The 19,108-nt window shown below is 38.8% G+C and overlaps 1 long non-coding RNA gene across 1 annotated transcript in view; it reads left to right on the top strand.

Annotated features, from left to right (window-relative positions):
* Nucleotides 1–11,991, top strand: part of LOC124906307 (uncharacterized) — a 97,668-nt gene extending 85,677 nt beyond the window's left edge. The window contains exons 2-4 of the long non-coding RNA XR_007096180.1: nt 5,795–5,970; nt 10,651–10,758; nt 11,692–11,991. This is a non-coding gene — a long non-coding RNA (uncharacterized LOC124906307). The remainder of the gene's footprint in view (nt 1–5,794; nt 5,971–10,650; nt 10,759–11,691) is intronic.
* Nucleotides 11,992–19,108: the final 7,117 nt, after the last annotated feature.

Genomic DNA, 19,108 nt, shown 5'->3' with positions numbered 1-19,108 from the left:
GCCAACATCTACTGTTTTTTGATGTTTTAATAGACATTCTGTACTACACAGCCAAAAAAAGGGACAAAATTATGTCCTTTGCAGCAATATGAATGGAGCTGGAGGCCATTTTCCTAAGTGAACTAACATAGAAACAGGAAACCAAATACCACATGTTCTCAAAGTGAGAGCTAACCACTGAGTACATAAGGACACAAAGAAGGGAACAACAGACACTGGGAAACTGAGGGTGGAGGAGGATGAGGAAAGGAGGAAAGGAGGATGAGGATCAAAAAACTACCTATTGGGTATTATGCTTGTTACTTGGGTGGAGAAATTATCTGTACATCAAACCCCTGTGATATGCAATTTACCTATATAACAAACCTGCACATGTACCTCTGAAACTAAAATAAAAGTTAAAAAAATAAAAACCAACTAAAAAACAGCCATTCTGATTGGTGTGAGATGGTACTTCATTGTGATTTTAATTTGCATTTCTCTGATGATTACTGATGTTGAGCACTTTTTCATATGTTTGTTGGCTGTTTGTATATTTTCTTTTGAGAAATGTCTGTTCATGTCTTTTGGCCACTTTTTAATGGGATTATGTGTTTTTGTCTTGAGTTGTTTGAGTTTTTTTTTTAGATTCTGGATATTTGTCCTTTGTCAGAGGCATAACTTGCAAATATTTTCTCTCATTCTTTAGGTTGTCTGTTTACTCTCTTGATTATTTCTTTTGCTGTAAAGAAGCTTTTTAGGTTAATTAAATCCCATTAATCTATTTTTGTTTTGTTGCATTTGCTTTTGTGGTCTGATTCATAAATTCTTTGCCTAGGCCAATGTCCAGAAGAGTTTTTCCTAAATTTTCTTCTAGGAATTTTTAGTTTCAGGTCTTACATTTAGGTCTTTAATCCATCTTTAGTTAATTTTGGTATATGGTGAGAGGTAGGAGTTGTTTTATTCTTCTGCATATGGCTACCCAATTTCCCTAGCACCATTTATTGAATAAGGTGTCCTTTTCTATTGTTTATTTTTGTCAATGTTATTAAGATCAATTGGCTGTAGGTATGTGGCTTTACTTTAGGGTTTTCTATTCTGTTCCGTTGATCAGTATGTGTCTCTTTTTGTACCAGTAATGTGCTGTTTTAGTTACTATAGCCTTGTGATATAATTTGAAGTTAGGCAATGTGATGCCTCTGGATTTGTTCTTTTTGCTTAGGATTGCTTTGGCTATTTGGACTCCTTTTTGGATCCATACAAACTTTAAATGGTTTTTTTTTTTAATTTTGTGAAGAATAACATTGATACTTTGATAGAAATTGTGTTGATTCTGTAGACTGCTTTGGGCAATATGTTCATTTTAACAATATTGATTCTTCCAATCCATGAGCATGGAATGTTTTCTATTAGTTTGTGTCATCTATGATTTACTTTATCAGTGTTTTGTAGAGATCTTTCATCTCCTTGGTTAAATGTATTCCTAGTATTTTTTATTGTGTGACTATTGTAAATTGGATTGAGTTCTTGATTTGTCTTTAAGCTTGAATGTTATTGGTGTATAGAAATGTTACTGAGTTTTGTACATTGATTTTGTATCCCGATACTTTATTGAAATAATTTATCAAGTCTAGGAATCTTTTGGAGGAGTCTATAGAGTTTCCTATGTATAATATCATGTCTTCAATGAACAGAGATAATTTGGTCTTCTTTTTTTTTTTTTTGAGATGGAGTCTTGTGCTGTCGCCCAGGATGCAGTGCCGTGGTGCAATCTCGGCTCACTGCAAGCTCCGCTTCCCGGGTTAATGCCATTCTCCTGCCTCAGCCTCCTAAGTAGCTGGGACTACAGGTGCCCGCCACCACGCCCGGCTAATTTTTTGTGTTTTTAGTAGAGACGGGGTTTCACCATGTTAGCCAGGATGGTCTCGATCTCCTGACCTTATGATCCGCCTGCCTTGGCCTCCCAAAGTGCTGGGATTACAGGTGTGAGCCACCGCGCCCAGCCTGGTCTTCTTTTTCAATTTCAATGGCTGTTATTTCTTTCTCTTGCCTGGTTGCTTTGGTGGGAACTTCCAGTACTATGTTGAATAGGAGTGGTGAGAATGGACATCCTTGTCTTGTTCCAGGTTATTTATTTTTTTATTTTTTGTTTTTGTTTTTGTTTTTTTGTGTTTTTGAGATGGAATCTCTCTCTGTCACCCAGGCTAGAGTGCAATGGTGCGATCTCAGCTCACTGCAACCTCTGCCTCCTGGGTTCAAGCAATCTACTGCCTCAGCTTCCTGAGTAGCTGGGACTACAGGTGCGTGTCACCATGCCCAGCTAATTTTTTGTATTTTTGTAGAGATGAGGTTTTGCCATGTTAGCCAGGATGGTCTCAATATCATGACCTTGTGATCTGTCCACCTTGGCCTCCCAAAGTGCTGAGATTACAGGTGTGAGCCACCACGCCTGGCCTTGTTCCAGTTTTTAGGGTTAATACTTTCAAGTTCTCCTTTTCAGTATGATGTTGGCTATGGTTTGTCATATATGGCTCTTATTACATTGAGGAATGTTCCCTCAGATCCTGATTTGTTGAGGGTTTTCTATCATAAAGGGATGTGGAATTTTGTCAAATGCTTTTTCTGCATCTATTAAGATGATCATATGGTTTCTGTTTTTAATTCTGTTTATGTGGTGAATAACATTTATTAATTTGTGAATATTGAACCATCCTTGCATCCCATAATAAAACCCACTTGATCATGATGAATTATCTTTTTGATGTGCTATTGGATTCAGTTTGCTAGTATTTTGTTGAGGATTTTTGCACCTATATTCATCAGAGATATTGGTCTATAGTTTTCTTTTTTTCTTGTATTCTTGTCTGATTTGCGTATCAGAGTGACACTGGTTTCATAGAATGACTTAGGAAGGAATCCCTCCTCCTTGAGTGTTTGGAATAGTTTCAGTAAGATTGCTACTAGCTCCCCCTTGAATGGTAAAATTCTGCTGTGAATCTGTCTAGTCCTGGGCTTTTTGTTGTTTAAAGGTTTAAAATTTTTTTTTCAAATTACTCATTCAATTTTACTTATTGTTGGTCTGTTCAGAATTTCTCTTTCTGCCTCGTTCAATCTGGAGATGTTTTATATTCCCAGGAATTTATTTCTTTCCTCTAGGTATCCTAGTTTGTGTGCATAGAGATGTCCATAGTAATCTCTGATGATCTTTTATATTTCTATGGTATCAGTTATAATGTCACCTTGTCATTTCTGATGGTGCTTATTTGAAAATGCATTTTTTTTTTGGTTAAGATAGCTAGTGGTTTATCAATTTTGCTTATCCTTTCAAAAAACCAACTTTTTGTTTCATTGATCCTTTATATCACTTTTTTTCTCAGTCTCAGTTCTGCTCTGGTCTTTGTTATTTATTTTCTGCTGCTAACTTTGGGTTTGGTTTGTTCTTGTTTTTCTAGTTCCTTGAGGTGTGACATTAAGTTGTTAATTCAAGATCTTTCTATCTTTTTGATGTAGGCATTTAATGTTATAAACTTCCCTCTTAGCACTGCTTTTGCTGTATCTCAGAGGTTTTGGTATGTTCTGTCTATTTGCCTTTGATTTGCTCTTTTACATTGACCTTGGGTAGTCTGATGACTATATGTCCTGGTGATGTTCAGCTTGTATAGTATTTTCCAGATGTTATTTGGATTTCTTGTATCTTGATGTCTATATCTCTAGCAAGATCAGGGAAATTTCCCTGAACCATTTCTTCAAATATGTTTTCCAAACTTCTTACTTTTTTTCTCCCTCAAGAATACCTATAAAATCATAGGGTTGGTCACTTTACATTATCTTGTATTTCTCAAAGGCTTTGTTCATTTTTTTTAAAATTCTTTTTTATTTGTTTTTGTCTTATTGAAGTAATTAGAAAGACTGCTCTTCAAGCCCTGAAATTCTTTTCTTCTGCTTGGTCTAGTCTGTTGTTAAAGGTCTCAGCTGTGTTTTGAAATTCTTTCAGTGAATTTTTCATTTCCAGAAATTCTGGTTGGTTTTTAAAAATATAACTATCTAATTTTTCATCTCTTGAATTGTTTTTTTTTGGTTTCTTTGTGTTGTTTTCAACTTTCTCTTGGATCTCATTGAACTTTCTTATAATCCATATTGAGAATTCCTTATCTGTCATTTCAATGTTTTCCAAATGAAAACTTTGAAATGGATCCTTGAAAAAGGATCTATTGTTAGAGAGCTAGTGTGGTCCTTTGGGAATGTCACACCATTCTGTTTCTTCATGGTGCTGGAGCTCTTATGTTAGTTTCTTCTCATCTGTAGAAGCTGTCACTTCTCATTTTTGGTTATTTTCATTTGGGTGGGATTTTTCTTCTTTCCCTCCTGAGAGGTGACTGTTGTATATGTTGGGTAGGATCCTTAGGCTTTGTGTCTATGTGCTTTTAGAGGGCCAAGGCTCTGCATGAATTCCTTGGTTATAGATAGTCTTGGTGTATTTTCTCAAACTCTAGTAGCTTGTACGTTGTAGTGGTGGGGTGATGTATGTGTGGTCAGGCTCACTATCTCTTACAGAGATGGGAAAAGAGAGATCTCAAGAGGCTCATCTCATCTCCCAGTGCTATGCAATTCTTTCAGTAGTAATTATATTGGGTTGAGCAGTTTACTCTACAGGCCAGCAGTTGGTGCTTGCATGTAAAAGCCAGCTGAGCACTGTACAAAGATATCAATAGTTGTGATGGGTCCTGCAGTTTGACTTCCCAGCCAGTAGGCGGAACTTTCAGATGAGAGGCAGTTGTGGTAATGGCAGTGGAATTTTAACCTGGCCTTTTGTTGATTGGCAGGTCATGGGACTTTCAGGGTTCACATCCTGTTTCTGTGCTCTGCTGCCAAGGTGGCTGAAGGGAGTAAAGCTGGTTGGGGCTGCATTGGGCCAATCTGCAACTAGGCTTTCCAGGGCAAGTGTAAGTGCTGACCTCAGTGGGGATTTAGGGGAAGCTCTCAGGCTGCCGGTATCACCCTCTTGGTAGGAGCGGAGGTGCCTCTCCTGTACCACTAAACCTGCTCAAGAGAAGAGGGGTGATCTGCGATTTTCAGCTCAGCAGGTGGCCATGGGGCCCACCAGCCTCTCATACCCTGGACCAACACAGATGCCCTGGACCCACCCAGATGCCTTGGCTGGGTGGGCCAAAGGATCTGCTGGGCAGCAGGCCTTACTGGTTAGGCTAGTGCCAAGTTCAATGATCCTGGTCCAGAATAAAAACATTTCCTGCTTCTGGAACCAGCCTGGTCCCTGGCTCTCTTATCCTTGACTGCACAGCCAGCTTCTGACATCTGCACTTGTCCCTTGATTTGGGGCACTTATGAACTCTTACCATTTTTGGTTGCTTGATTGACCTTCCCTCTCAATTCTTGGCTCTGCTTATTTTCCTGATTTTGTGGCTCCCTCAGGTGACTCCTGCCTCTAAGAAACTCTTTGGCCAATCCAAGCCCTGGAATCCCTTTCAACTTGATTCCAGGAGCCTCTCAGTCTGTTAGGGGAACAGACTGATGCAAGGCAATGTGGTGTGGTAAAGAGTGAATGCTTCAGAACCAGGCTGCCTGTGTCAGAATCTTGTGTCTGCCACTTACTGGCTATATGACCCTATCCAAGACATTTTGACTTTTTGTGCCTCAGTTTTCTCATTTAAAAAGTGGGGATAGTAATAATAGTCCTACCCTCATGGGGTTGTTGTGAGGATTAAACAAGAATTAATTAAATGAATAAAAGTGCTTAGAACTATGCCTGGCACATAGTTAAGTGCTTAATGATTTTCATCTATTATTGTTTATTTAGAATAAGAGTGCCCTGGAAGCATGAGGAAGGAAGCAATTAATTTGGCCCAGGAGAGCTGCAAAAAGTTCCATAGAAACCATGATACTGGAGCAGAGTTTTGATCAATGAGTACTTTCCCAGAACTTGGGTTGGAAGGAGGGCAATCTAAGAAGAAAAAGGCTGATGCAAAGGCTCAGGTAGGAGACATAGAATAGAAAATGTACTGTGCATGGGGCTTTGGATGAATGCTGGAGCTAGGGATAAGGGAAGGCATGGCAAGTGATGCAGCTAGAGATGTGGGGCAAGGGGAAGTTGGGAAGGGCTTTAATGCTAAACCAGTAAGTTAGTTCTTTCCTCCTAGGCAGCGGGAAGCCAATGAAAGTCTTTAGGCAAGGAAGTAATTTCAGTCAGATTTGTAAGCTTACATTGGCTGTGCTGTAAAAGATGGATTGCGGTGAGTTGGAGTGTTGGCAAGGAGGTCCCTTTGAAGAGGCTATTTCATTAATCCATGGGGAGACATCATGTGAGAGTTTAATATGATGGGCTATTAATGACTGCTCTTCCCTGACCTTTTTCACATTGAGTTTTTGGGTTGGGTAGGAGGATTTTTTACTCATTTGTTTTGTTTTTTTATTTCTATTTTATTTTATTTGTTCCAAAGCACAACATAAAAAAGCCAGTCCTTTCTATACTAATAATTCACAGCATAAAGCCACTACACGGCATTAGTCAACTTGAAAACCTTTCTGTAGCCAATGCAGCCTAGGATTGGTTAAAACTTATTTGATACAGTATTGTAGCTTTGAGTATGCATGAGTTTTGAGTTGCCCCAGAAGTTAGTCCTTCGTCGGCTTCACTTGTCACAGCATTAGCAATATCCCTGGGTGAATGACCAAGAGTTAAGGATTAAGTTTAAAAGCCATCTTGGCAATTTCCTGCTTGTATTGGTTGGATTTAGGCTGATTTCATTAAATATTTAATTTTATTTGGTTTGCTGCCGGTTAATGCCTAAAAGAATTCTGAATGGTTTTTCTTCATTGTTCACCTGTAATTCTTGTTATTTTCTCAAATGGAAAGATCTTTCCTTCAGATGCACAGTGATTTCAAGAGTTTTATTATTGTATGCCCTACCTCAAGTGATTTGAATTATGTTACCTGTAGAACTAATTCATCAAGAGCTTTGTGAAAACCCTGCACAGGTCTGAAGAGTGTCCATTTGTAATTCCAAGTTATATTTCCTATCTAAACATTCCCTTTATTTGCTCATGTCATTTTGTTTGTTTGTTTTAACTCCCATGCTCTGTCCTTTTGAACAAGTAGCAAAGACACCTATGGTTTTAGAATTTTTTTCCCCCAGAGCAGCTAGGGCAAAAATCTATATAGACAAAAGAAAACCCTGGCAGAGATCTTTTTTTCAAACACATTTCTATTTAGCTGAGAAAAAGACTGCTTAAATGCTTATACCATACAATTCATTGTTCCTTTTCATTAATACTGAATAAAAGGTTTTTGGAGTTGACCAGTTTGCCCCTCTTTGAAATATTCCTCTTCATTAAACAACATTTAGAAGTGTTCTTCAACCCAATCTGAATAGTAATCAGGGTTCCGTTTCCTTTCTCTTTTTGTTTTGGGTCTTCAGAGTGGGGAAAGGTAACTGATGCTTTGTTTAAAAATTTTTCTTTCAGAAGCAATTAATTAATCTGGTGAAACAACTGCTAAAAGTATCCCTACACTTTCTTTCAGGATTGCTGGGTTTTTCAGTGTTGCTTGGTTGGAGGACCTCCAGCTGACACTGTAGATTTCTCTTTGCTTAACATCCTCTTTAAATTTCTCTGGAAGTGTGTGCCAGAAAGATCCATGGACTTACAGATTGTCAGTGCCTCCAAAGCCATTAGGGTTCCCACCTACTTTTTCTTATTTTAAGTTCCGGGATACATGTGCAGGACATGCAGGTTTGTTACATAGGTAAACGTGTGCCATGGTGGTTTATGGCACCTATCAACACATCACCTAGGTATTAAGCCCTGCATGCATTAGCCATTTATCCTGATGCTCTCCCTCCCCTCGACACGCCCTGGTGTGTGTTGTTACTCTCCCTGTGTCCATGTGTTCTCATTGTTCAACTCCCACTTATGAGTGAGAACATGTGGTGTTTGGTTTTCTGTTCCTGTGTGAGTTTGCTGAGTATAATGGCTTCTAGCTTTATCCAAATCCCTGCAAAGGACATGATCTCATTCTTTTTTATGGCTGCATAGTATTCCATGGTGTGTATGTACCACATTTTCTTTAACCAGTCTCTCATTGATGGACGTTTGGGTTGATACCATGTCTTTGCTATTGTGAATAGTGCTGCAATGAAGATATGCGTGCATGTATGTTTATAATAGAATGGTTTATATTCCTTTGGGTATATACCTAGTAAGGGGATTGCTGGGTCAAATGATATTTCTTCTTCTAGATCCTTTAGGCATCACCACACTGTCTCCCACAATGACTGAAAAAATTTACATTCCCAACAACGGTGTAAAAGTGTTCCTATTTTTCCACAGCCTTGCCAGCACTTTTGTTTCTTGACTTTTTAATAATCGCCATTCTGAATGGCATGAGATGGTATCTCGTTGTGGTTTTGATTTGCATTTCTCTAGTGATCAGTGATGTTGAGCTGTTTTTCATGTTTGCTGGGCACATAAATGTCTTTTTTTGAGAAGTGTCTGTTCACGTCCTTTGCCCACTTTTTGATGGCATTGTTTGTTTTTTTCTTGTAAATTTGTTTAAGTTCCTCGTAGATTCTAGATATTAGATCTTTGTCAGACAGGTAGATTGCAAAAATTTTCTCCCATTCTGTAGGGTGCCTGTTTGGTCTGATGATAGTTTCTCTCAGCTTATGTGCAACCAGCCTCTGGAGGGTTTCAGAGGAATATGAGAGCTATCTTCAGATATTTGAAGTTTCATCAAGTGGAGGAAGAATTTAACATATTTAGTATAGAGCTCTGAGCGATAGCACCAGGATAGGTGAAGAAAAGAATGTTCAGAAGCAAACATTTTCCTCAGTGTGTTCCACAGGACTGTGGAATGCTAATGGATGGGGTAGGGGTGTGGAAAGATATAGGGTTAAATGAGTTAGAAAATGCTGCATTCATGCTTTTAAACATTTCTTTATCAAAGCTAATGAGTGTGGTAAATATCTGAGAGGAACATAATATATGTGTATTTGACCATGGAATGTTTTTCATGGAATGGGTCAAAGGATGGATGTCCCACACTTAGAGTGCTAAGAAAGTACTCTGTTGCCTAACATGAAAATAAGTTTTAGTGTTTTACGTTAAAAGGATTAGGTGTGAGTTCTAGCTGCAATAAAGTACAGTGGGACGCCCCACACAAATATAAATACCTAAAGATTTAGTTTTATTTGTATGACAGGAAGTACAACTGCATATTCTTGAGGTCCTTACTAGGTCTCAATTGCTATGGGTGGCATCGGGATATATTAACCTTCCCATCTGTTGTGGTGTTCATGCCTGAAGTGGATCCCACTTGAAAAGCACACAGGGCATTCATGCTGGTTGCTAAATATTTCTCAGCAGACCACTTCCAGAGCCTTACCAAAAAATTATCTTTCAGGTGTGTCTCTTCTGAAATTGTACATGGCATCGTCATTACTACTATTATGTTACTTATAAAATGAAATTAATCATAGTGCTGATTTTACTGATAGATATTTGGGGCTTTCTCTACTAAGTGATAAAAGATTGCTTCAACAATACATACCATTTTGTTAGAATAGGGCTAATATGGTGATCATGTGCTGACTTATTTTAGTTTGGAATTTCAAAGGCTAGTAGAGTTTATATTATTTACATCTGTAGGACTTGAAAAGTAAGTATCATAGTATATTTAAAACAAGGTTCTGGGCTGGGCACAGTGGTTCATGCCTGTAATCCCAGCACTTTCGGAGACCACAGCAGGAGGATTGCTTGAGTCCAGGAGTTTGAGACCAGTCTAGGCAATATAGTAAGACCCTGTCTCTACAAAAAAAAAAAAAAAAAAAAATAGCTGGTTATGGTAGTGCATGCTTATAATCCCAGCTATTCAGGAGGCTGAGGTGGGAGGATCGCTTGAGCCCAAGCAGTCGAGGCTTCAGTGAGCTGTGATCATGCCACTGCACTCAAGCCTTGGTGACTGAGTGAGACCCTGTCTCAAAAACAAACAAATGAACAAAAACTAAGTTCTTGCCAGCCATATATATGGGTTTTTAGAAAGTGGAAAAACATGGAAAATAGATGTACTATAACAAAGACATCATATCTCTTCATGTAAATAAGACCGAGGCAAAGTACTTCTTAAGCAGATTTTTTTGGATAACAGACATAAATAAAAGAGAAATAAATAAAGATGTTGAATTATAGACTTTGGATCTGAAGAAGTTTGAACAGGTTGGAGTGACTACATGTTTTAGAGACAAATGTTAAGTCCCACATTTGGATATAAAAATGTTTTGAGCTACAGAAAAGGGGAAATACTAACTCTACCTCACCAACTATGGGGACAAATGATTTTAATCAACAGTGAGTAAATGTTCTGTGGTTATTAACAGAGTGAATGTGCACTTAGACCACAAGTGGAAGTCTGATAGGTGAGACAGAGAGATGACAGTTATGTTGAACCCAACCCAAGAGAAATGTCATTTCTGTGAAACAAGGCCAAGAAAATTCATGTCTGGTTTTTAGTTGGGAACATTGAGACAAGACTAATTTTTGTTAAGCTGGCTGCATGAATTTATAGCCATATACAGTAAATATTATGGTTGAAATTTGCTGATATTTGGTGGTATTGAAAGACAATTAGTTAACCAATCATTCTCTCTTTTTGTTTTACAGAGGCATGGTTTGCATATCCATCATAGTTCATGACTGACAATCTAGAGGTTGGAGCTAACATTGAAAAACATATTGATTATTATGGGACCAAGTGTTTCCCAAATTAGGGTAAGTGTCATAATGGCCCAGAATTTAATCCCAGGAAAATATTATTTTCTAAACATGCTTTCTTTCCTACCCTCTCTCTTCCTCTTTCCCTTTCTCTTCATAATTAAATTGGTATCATCCAATATTTATCCATATTTTTCATTGTCTGCCACAAAGCTCAGAACCAAATTTAGTGTGCTCAGTTACAGAAAGCAAGTCACTCATCCATGAATTCTAGTTCACTGTTCTTTCACCTTTCTTTTTTTTTGAGACAGAGTCTCGCTCTGTCACCCAGGCTGGAGTGCAGTGGCGCTATCTCGGCTCATGGCAAGCTCTGCCTTCCAGGTTCACACCATTCTCCTGCCTCAGCCTCCCGAGTAGCTGGGACTACAGGCGCCCGCCACCACACCTGGCTAATTTTTTCGTATTTTTTAGTGAAGACGGGGTTTCACCGTGTTAGCCAGGATGGTCTCGATCTCCTGACCTTGTGATCTGCCCGCCTCGGCCTCCCAAAGTGCTGGGATTACAGGCGTGAGCCACCGCGCCCGGCCTCACCTTTCTGATGATTAATAATCATCATTTTATATCTGTTTAATCTATTTTGTTTCATATGCATCTTGATATTACATATTTTTTCAAATTTATTTTTGGAAATAGGCAGAAAATACATGATGTATATATTTAAAAAATGCTGCCCCAGAAGTTACATTAATAGATGAAACTGCTTGCATTCCACAAGTATTTTTGAATGTGAATCAGGCTCTATTATAAGGAAATATCTTGTATGAAAATATTAAATATGATTTAAACAAAGGAGGGTGCCATATGTTTAGTATTTTCATATGAAGTAGAACTTTCCTATATTGAGACAGACTTTTTCCAAAATAAATATTTTGACTCTCTTTGTCAGTCTTCCCAGCGATGAACAGGTAATAATTTTGTAATTGTTCATAGATCTTCTGATTCAAAGACCTACTACATCCTAGACAGGGCTCCAGGTGTTAGAGAGGGGCGTATGGAGTATTGAGACCTACTGCGTGTGCAGACCGGATGAAGGGCTGTGTTAATGACTACAGCAGAAGCAGTGACCCAGAGAAGGTTGGTGAGATGAACTTCGTCGAAGTTCTATTGCCTGAGAAAGAATCAAGCTGTGGTGGGAGACCCAGCGATTGCTTTGGAGCACTAGTTATGAAATTTGCTGTACGTTGGAATCATCTGAAAAAGCTTAAAAACACTGAAGTCTGCGTAAGCAAGGAGGGGGAATCAGAAGTCAGTGTGATACAGTTTTTCCTTGAGTACAGGGTTTTCTCTGCCTCAGAACTGTCTAAATCATCACTCATCACTACATTCTGGAGGTCTTGAGGTTGCCTTCTAAAGGGCTTAGGAGTGGAGGGAAGCTGGGGTTATTTTCTTTAGAAAGACTTCAATGACTAGTCCTCATGGATCTGCTCTAGAAAACTGTTCTGTTTCGGTTGTAGCAATGTGGCCCTTTTAATGCTGGCTTTAATGTAACCTCTCCCTTTTCCCTGGGGACATAATTGTGCCTACAAAGGGAATCAATCCATTTACCAATTTCAAATGGACACTTTCCTATCAATACATAGTTAAATCCTTGGAGTGAAGCATGCAGGATCTGGAGTTGATTGCTAAGTTTTGAGTGCTTTGTCTACCACTTACTAGCTAGGCAAGTTACTTAGCCTCTTTATCTGTAGAATACAAATACTAATAACACAAACCTTATAGTTTAAAAATTATTTTATTTTTAAATTGACAAATAATAATTATATGTATTTATGGAGTATAATATGATGTTTTGATACACATATATATTGTAGAATAATCAAATAAGGCTAATTAGCATAACTATCACCTCCAATATTTATTATTTCTTTGTGGTAAGAACATTTAAACTCCTTTCTTTTAGCTATTTTGAAATATACAATATATTATTATTAACTATAGTTATCATGCTATGCAGTGAAACATCAGAACTTATTCATCCTATCTAACTGAAACTTTGTACTTGTTGACCAACCTCTTCCCTTTCCCTGTCAACCTCACCCCACCGGAAAAAACCCTCTTGTAAACACCATTCTACTTCCTATTTTTATAAGTTTGACTTCTTCAGATTTTACAGAATCTAGATATGAAATAGATAATGTGGTATTTTTCTGTATGTGCCTGGCTCATTTCACTAAACATAATGACCTCTAGGTTCATAGGTTTTTATTGTAAGTATTAAATGATATAATATAAGGAAATAATGTAGAAAATGTCCTGGGACATAGTAAATACTAAGTCAGTGAGTCACAATATGTGGTCAGAGTCTCAATATGTGGTCCCCAGACCAGAAGCTGCAGTGTCACCTAAGGACTTGTTAGAAATGAAAATGCCTTGTTCCCATCACGGTTACTGAGTCAAAAACTCTCAGGATGGGGCCCAGCAATTTGTATTTTAACAAGCTCTCCAAGCAATTCTGATTTTAGCTAAAGTTTGAGAGCCAAACTTTAATCTTATTAAAGATGATTTGTGGTTATTTAATTTATTCCCACCAGCTCTCATTTCAAACAACAAACACAACCTAGTGGTTATTCTATTATCTAAAAAGAAATACCTTATAACATACTAAATTAAAAATTTTAAAATTAATTTATTAATTAACTTTAGAAACAGAGTCTTGCTCTGTTGCCCTGGCTGGAGTGCAGTGGTGTGGTCATGACTCATTGCAGTCTCAACCTCTTGGGCTCAAGCGATCCTCCTGTCTCAGCCTCCCAAGTAGCTGGGACTAGAGGTGTATGCCACCATGCCTGGCTAATTTTTATCTTAGAGATGGAGTCTCACCATACTTCCCAGACTGGTCTTGAACTCTTGAGCTCAAGCGATTCTCCTGCCTCAGCCTCCTGAAATGCTAGGATTACTAGCATAAGCCACTGCATCTGGCCAGAATTATGTTTAAATAGTCAAACTAATCTCCTTAATTTGCATTTCAAACAATCACTTTAAAATAACTTATTTGTAATCAAGACCCTATACCGTCTTCCTTACTGAAAAACCACTACAAATTTGTTGTAATGCGATGTATCAGTCCAGAGGAATATTTTTCTCCTTTGCTCCAGGATACAGCTCTGGAAAACCTTGGGAATAAGGTGGCTGTCTGGGACTGTGAAGTGATGGGCCTGACTAGAGCACTCCAAATTGTGGGAAATCAGGTTGACCAGGTGGGGTATTACTGTTTATGAAAGGCCTTGAAAGTTAGTAAAATTAAGCTTGATGTAGTAAAAACCAATGGTGACCATTGAATCTTTTTGAGAAGGCAAGAGAATGGAAAGTGAAAAGGTTAAATTGTAATAGGGGAGGCCTGGATACCCAAAGTCAGTGTCTTAGAGCTGGCTAAGTTCTGAGGAATGTGGAGACTTCAGAGGTTTTAGAATATCGGGATGGGAAGGAGGCCTGGAGAGAAAATTTACTGGCCGCTACCAGAGACTATACGTCAAATTAAAATAATAGCGGTGACTTTATCAGGCCCGGGGATGTCACCCAAAGGGGTGCATTCTAGTGTGGGCTTTTGAGCTACAGGAGTTCCTAGATTGCAGTCTAGGCAATTGCTTTGTATTTACAGGTGGTCTTCATTGGCTAGCAGGTGGAGGCATGAGAGTGGGTAATTATAAAGTGAGTTCAGCCCTCTCTTGCTTGCTTGCTTTTGCACTCTTTTGGCCTGACAAGACAAAATAGGTGATATGGATGCCTTCAAATACTCTGAGACTGGGGAAAACCTTCAGTTCAAAAGCATGCATTTTCCAGGGGTTGTGCCAGCTGTATTGGATATGGGCCTTAAAGTCAACAAGTGGTTTTTTAGACTCTAGTGACTTGAGCTGTGTGTGTGTGTGTGTAAAGTGTGTGTGTGTGTGTGTGTTTGAGAGGGAGAAGAGAAGAGAAGAGAAGAGAAGAGAAGAGAAGGGAAGAGAACTGCTCGCCTTGTTTTACTGGTGGGAGTCTATCTATTCTTTTCCTTAATGTAATTTTGCAAGTCACTCTGGGTTGGATCCTTTGCTAAGGAAAGGCTGAGTGTTTTGTGTACCTGCCCTTTCCTCATAGGGTCTAAGTAGGAACCAAGTTGACTTCCACCTCTGTAGGAACTCTTGCATAAAGATATATAGGTTCTAATAGTCATTTTCCTTTTATTCCATGGTTTGGGGAGCTACAGCTGTTGCGTAGTCCTATCACAGAATTTAATTTTTGCAAGGGTCACTATAGCATGAACATTTTTCCTCTATAATAGTTTTTGTGGTGGGGGTGGGAAAGCAGATTTATAGAAATATCTTACTTTGAATTTATCTATTGTAATGATAAGGTAGACTTAAAAAGTTCTGTGATCATCTCTTTGTGGGAGGGTATAAGCATAAATACCAAGTAAGTCTCGGTCATTTAGAGATCATGCTCAAAGTCATCTTAACCTGGGATACACTTGGGTTTTAGAGGGGGATGTGCAAGGTCACCAATACTGCGTCCATCAGTTTCATGAGTTACATTTCTCAAATAGGAAAACCATCAGCTGACAGGGATACTAGAGATAATGTGGACCGTGTTCTCTGTCTTTGGTGCTGATTTTGACTTTTTCTTGCTGCTTTCAACACTAGGACCAGCAAGAACAAATTCATCATCATCTACTCTATTTCCAGAGGTCTTAGGTTCATTGTTCTTCCATCTATTTATTATTCAATTCTTCCACCCAATCATTAAATATACATTTATTGAATTGCCTTCTATATATCAGGCAAAGTATTAAGTGCAGGGATTAATATAGCTGACATTCAATTATTGCTATGAAAATGTGAAGAAGACATTGTGTTCTGTTATATTTAATGAACTATTCTGAGGTTATCATTGATAGAATCAACTTTGGCATCTAGAATAAGGTATAGTCAGAGGTTTAGTCAAAAGAGATAAACTACAGATAAAGTAGGAATGGTTGAGTGGTGACAGTCCCAGATTTCATTCACAGATTTGGGATTGTGGCATAAACAAAAGAATAATTCAAAAGCTTTCTAATTTTTTTTCCTACTTCAATTAAGCTTCAGACATCAGTTCACATCTATGGCAACAGTTTTTCTTCTTTGTATGATGCCAGGATGAAAATGTACTATTTTTGCAACACCACTTTCTTATACTTTTATGTCACAGATTTTTAAAGGTATCAATCAGATTAAACAATTGAAAAATAATATATTATTTTTCATGTATGCAATTTCAACAGGAAGTAAGATAATAAAAAAAATTAAAGAAATATTCCTAAGGGTGTTATTTTTCAAAGTGAAACTATCTCAGAATTGAGAGGTATCCTAGATCAAACCATTTGGTTTAGAAAAATGGCAACATAAGTAGAAATACATGTATTTACATAGTGTGTGTATGTATGTATGAATGTACATTGTATATCCATAAATGGCTTGCAAATTTCTTTCTTTCTCCCTTCTTCACCTCTTTATTTCTTCCTTTCTTTCTCTCTTTTATAACTATCTGTACCTATCTATCATCTATCTCTCTGTTATCTATCTATCTGTCATCTATCTATCTATCTATCTATCTATCTTAGTTTTATGTTGATTTAATAGAACACCACAGAGTGTGTAATCCATGATGAATAGAAATTTATTTGGCTCACAATTGTGGAGGCTGGGAAGCCCAAGGGAATGGCACCAGCATCTGGTGAAGGTCTTGGTGCAAAATGACAGAAGGCAGAAGGGCAAGAGAGTGCAAAAGCAAGCAAGCAAGACAGGGCTGAACTCACTTTTATAATAACTCACTCTCATAACAAATCCACTTTCTTAATAATGAACCTACTCCTGAGATAATGAAATTAATCCATTCATGAAGGCAGTGCCCTCATGGCCTAATCACCTCTTAATGGTCCTACCTCTTAATGTCCCACCTCCTGATACTGTCACAATGGCAATTAAATTTCAACATGAGTTTTGGAGGAGACATTCAAGCAATATTATTTTACCCCTTGTCCCCCATGACTCATGTTCTTTTCACATACAAAATACATTCATTCCATCCCAATGCCCCAAAACTCTTAACTTATTCCAACAACTCAAAAGTTCAAAATCCAGAGCCTCATCTAACTCAGATGTGGATGAGATCAAGACACAATTCATCCTGAGGCAAATTCCTCTCCAGCTGTGAGCTTGTGAAATTAACAAACTACGTGCTTCCAAAATACAATGGTGGGGTAGGCATAGGATAGATATTCCAAAAGGGGGAAATAGGCAAGAAAAAAAAGTAACAGGCCCGAAGTAAGTCTAAAACCCCAAAGGGAAAACAGCATTAAATTTTAAAGCTCCGTAATAATCTTCCTTGATTCCATGTCTCACTTTCTGGACACACTGGGGCAAAGATTGGGTTCCTATGGGGTTGGGCAGTTGTGTCCCTATGGTTTTGCTGGGCTTAGTCCACTTGGCAGCTCTCATGGCTTGGAGTCTTGTGCCTACAGCTTTCCCAGGCTGGGTTGTATGCTGGTGGCCCTACAGTTTTGCGATCTTGGGGGCACCTCTAGTTTTATGCCTCTATTAGGTATTGCCCTAGTAGGTATTGCCCTATGAGAAACTAGGTATTACTCTAGTAGGGACTCTCTGCAGAGACCTTGTTTCTATGGCTTCACTGGGCATTGCTTTAGTGTGAGCTCTCTGTGGTGGCTCCGTCACTGTGATGAGTCTCTGCCTGGGCCCCAGGCTGTCCGTGACATCCTTTTAAATCTTGATGGAGCCTACCATGGCTACATAGCATGTGTACTCTGTGTGCTGTAGAGTTATTGCCACATGGTCAGGAGTTCGAGATCAATCTTTTACACAAGGCTTGCTGCTTATACCTTCTGGGTTGGCAGATTGAGCCACATTGGGGTCGACTTGTGCTATGGCTGGGGCAGTTGAGGAGTGCTGTGCTGGAATGTGGAAAGCAGAGGACCAAGGTGGCTCTGGGCAGTAAGCCTGTGGAGGGTGCCCCAGGTCTGTCCTCTGAAACCATTCTGCCTTCCTAGAGCTCTGAGTCTGTGATGGAAGTGGCGGCCTCAAAGATCTCTGAAATGCCTTTAGGACCACTCTTCAATTGTCTTCATGATCTCTTCCATTTGTACTAATGATCTAATGATCTTCATGATCTCTTCTATTTGTACTAATCTCTTTAGCAGATGGTCACTTGGCCAAACCTTTAGTTTGCTCTCCCAAATATACTTTCTCATTCTTTACATGGTCAGGCAGAATGTTTAAACAAAATTTGCTTGCTTCTCTTTTAATTATAAATTTCATATTTAACATTGCTTTTCAGCCTTTTGGGTAAAATCCAGTGTATAAGTTCCATATTTAAGTCATTTCTTTCCACTTGCATCTTACTGTGTGCAGTTAAAACTAGCCACACAGATCCTTCTATATTTTGCTTACAAATTTCTTTTGCCAGATATTCTGGTTCATTGCTATTAAATTCTGCCTTTCATAAAGCTGTAGAGTATGGATATAGTTCAGACAAGTTCTTTGCCAACTTAAAACAAGGATGGCCCTTACTCAAGTTTCCAATAAGACATTTCTCATTTTGGGGGAGGGCGTGGTAGCTCATGCCTGTAATCCCAGCACTTTGGGAGGCCGAGGCAGGTGGATCACCAGAGGTCATGAGTTCAAGACCAGCCTGGCCAACATGGTGAAGCCCTGTGTGTACTAAAAAAAATACAAACATTAGCCGGGCATGGTGGCAGGTGCCTGTAATCCCAGCTACTTGGGAGGCTGAGACAGGAAAATTGCTTGAATCCAGGAAGTGGAGGTTGCAGTGAGCTGAGATCACGCCATTGCACTCCACCCTGGGTGACAAGAGCAAGACTTCATCTCAAAAAAAAAAAAAGATATTTCTCATTTTTGCCTGAGACCTCATTAGAATGGCCTTTATTATTTATATTTCTACTAGCATTCTAATCATGACCACTTAAGTATTTATCTCTAAAGTTTTGGACTTCCCTACAGTTCTTCTCTTCTTCTGAACCCTCACCACAATCACCTTTAATGCTCCATTCATGGCAATCTAGGCTTTTTCCGTTCCTCCAGATTCTTCCAGCTTCTATCCATTACTCAGTTCCAAAGCTACTTCAACATTTTCAAGTATTTGAATAGCAGCAGCCCCACCTCTTGAGACCAGTTTTCTGGCTTAGTCTATTTTATTTCACTCTAAGACAGTATCACAGTCTGGGTAATCTGTAATGAACAGAAATTTATTTGCCTCATGCTTCTGAAGAGTGGGAAGTCCAAAAGCATGTTGCCAGCATCTGGCAAGGGCCTCTGTGCTGTGTCATCCCATGGCAGAAGGTGGATGGGCAAGACAGCTCAGAAGC

Source organism: Homo sapiens, chromosome 3 (assembly GCF_000001405.40).
Source record: "Homo sapiens chromosome 3, GRCh38.p14 Primary Assembly".
NCBI classification, from domain to species: Eukaryota; Metazoa; Chordata; class Mammalia; order Primates; family Hominidae; genus Homo; species Homo sapiens.
Note: the sequence above shows the minus strand (reverse complement) of the source record. Positions and strands in the feature narration are given on the sequence as shown.